This window comes from Homo sapiens, chromosome 12 (genome assembly GCF_000001405.40).
Source record: "Homo sapiens chromosome 12, GRCh38.p14 Primary Assembly".
Lineage (NCBI taxonomy): Eukaryota > Metazoa > Chordata > Mammalia > Primates > Hominidae > Homo > Homo sapiens.
The window spans coordinates 126232164-126234889 of record NC_000012.12 but is presented as its reverse complement, the minus strand read 5'-3'; the positions used below and the strand labels follow the sequence as shown (position 1 = coordinate 126234889).

Here is a 2726-nt window from a genome sequence, read left to right as displayed (position 1 = left end):
AGATCTCAAACAGCTGACATTAAATTGTCTTACTTTTGCTAATTGTACGAAAACGTAACCATGTGTACGTGTTGTTGGGGCCATTCCCAGTGCATTTCTGCGTAGAAGGTATTTGAGGGGAGGCATGAATAATAACTATAAACCAGACATACAAAGTTCTGAATATAGAGCATGGATATAATAATGTTATCATAGTATCATGTATGACGAAGGTTGATCATATGCCCACTTTTTTGTATGAAGGAAAAAGGCACATAGTAGACCCTCAGGCAATAGGAACTAAAAATAAAAATATGTGTGAATATGTAAATAAATAAATGAATCAATTAACCAACCAACCAACAACGTACCCAAGGTTAGAAGGCTGAGCACTTTGTTGCTTGATAGATTAGATTGGGTTAGATAGATGCTCAACCAAGAGAAGGAATAGCCCTTTTTAATGTGTACACGCATGTTCCACACATTCTTCTGACGTCTTCCAAAGACCAGGAGGGCACTGGCCTGGATGCATCAATGGGGTGAGCCACTTGTTGCCCTGGTGGTGCCTGCACAGTTTCATGGAACACGGACTAGCAAGCAGAAGGAGCGCCTCAATGGGCAACAAGGTCTGAAACGATGGAGACGAGATTCTATGTTCTGGCATATTTCATATTCAGGCCTGACTAAAGCTATTAAGTAAATTATATCCTTTAAATTCCATCCATTTTCTTGGTCATTACTGGTCATTAAGAGGAAGGCAAGAAACAAGGATCTACAAGAAGATTCCTTTGGTTGGAAGGATTTTCTTGTTTTACTATTGTCAACCAGCTGGTTGCACTAAGTAACAGAGGGGTGGGACTTTGTCAGATAAGGTGCAGTTAATCAAGGAGGAAGCGTTTAGGAGGAAAGCTCATCCTAGATTAAGACAAGAAAATAAAACCCATGAGAATTGGATAACCTATGATGTGACTGACCTTCTGGGAGAAACAATACATAACTTTGAAATTTCTCATGTCGAAATCACTGAATTTTATTGCTAGACGACACTTTGTGAGAACAATAGGCTCCCACCCCAGGGTTCTGTCTTAGTCATTCCCTCTGCCTGGAATGCTCTTCCCAAATTTCTGAAGCTGACTCTTTCTTATTATTCAAATTTCTGCTAATAGGTCACCCTCCTTGAGAAGCTTTCCCTGGCCATCCTCCTTGTAGGAGGCATTCTTGAGGATTTCTTAATTAAATTACCCAATTTCCTTTACCTACAAAAAAAAATTATACTTAGCTTGGAATATTTTAGGCACACACTCAGTTACAAGCTTCTTGTCTGTCTCTGCTGCTAGAAGATAAGCCGCTGTTAATCAGGAGCTCTGTCTAGTCCTGTTTGCAGCTCTATTCCTAGTGCCTAGGAAAGAGCCTGGGACCCTTATGCAAATATTTGTTGAATCCACAAATGAACCTAGATATGTTTCCCTTGAGGAGACTGGGGCCCAGCAAAGCATTTGACCAGGGTCATGTAGATGACTTGTGGCAGAGCTCAGATACAAAATGGGGCACTCAACCATTTGCGTATTCAGGTTTGTAGGCTCTTGGTGAAAAATCCAATATTTGTATTCTTGATGCTTGGTAATAACTTGAATGCTGATGATGTGGAGATACACTGAGATGTCAAAAATGCAGTTTTTACACACTCTCAAGTCTTGCCACCTGGGAAGAAATTAACAGTGAGAATTTTCTGAAGCACTAACATTTCACCTCCACAAGAGAGTTTGGGAAATTTTCTGTCCCACAAATGACATTAGCAATTTAGAAAATGATTTAAAACAAAAGGGCATTTCACGATATTGCCAATAACACTTAGCAAATCTCATTAATGAGATACTCTGATGTGGAAATCACTACAATTCTATTTCACAGCAAAATACTGTAATTAAGCCATTGTGTGTCTGTGTTATTTAGCAAATGAATAATTACATGATGCCCTGGAGACTTTCTGCTACTTTGGAGCATCAGGCTAATGCCCTTGCAGTCGTGTCTGGAACTCACTTTAATGAGCAATATATTCTGAGCCATGCTCAGGGCAATTGACTGCTATATAAAAGGAGATAGTGGAACAACAGCCAAATTCAGTGTGCTGCAGGCCATAAAGCATCAACGATGACTGATATATCTGTACTAGGACATTGTGAAAAACAGAGAGTTCTTAATTCACCAATGGTAACTGAGTATCTTGTAAGGATGTACCAGGCTCTGTACTAGACACTAGAAATATGAGGTTGACACAGCTCCTGATACTCATAGACTCATTGTCTGTTTAAAGGTATTTACAAATAAATCATTCAATCAAATTAGAACAAAGATAATATCACCATCTGTACCATGTCTAGCTTCTGCTCTTCTTCCAATCCCAAATGTCTTTACCAAGGAGACATTTGACATTCTGGGTCTAGAATTCTGTCCAAGAAAGAGGTGGGTTGTGCCAGAGAAAGAATCATGTATTTAGTTTAATTTTAAAAATATATTTTCAGCAGGTCAACAAGACACTGGAAGAACAAACATGATAGAAAGTAGAATGTTATTGAGTATGTGTGCTCCTACAATCTCTGGTGGTTTGAGCCAAGATAGAGTTGATATTTTACCAAGTATAAAAGGAGGTCTGGCCCTATTTGAGCTGCAGTCAGCAATGTGTTACCCAAGCTTGAAGCACCATCCTTCCACTAATGCTGCTACATTACATGTTCATGTCGAAAGTA

At 39.3% G+C, this 2726-nt stretch overlaps 1 annotated feature.

The window, feature by feature from the left end:
• Window positions 1015-1995: an enhancer, noted in NCBI's record as "NANOG-H3K27ac hESC enhancer chr12:126717441-126718421 (GRCh37/hg19 assembly coordinates)". NCBI's record gives its function as "activates a minimal SCP1, AML or CMV promoter by ChIP-STARR-seq in naive H9 embryonic stem cells {active_cell/tissue: H9 hESC(naive)}" and the evidence as "EXISTENCE:reporter gene assay evidence [ECO:0000049][PMID:30033119]".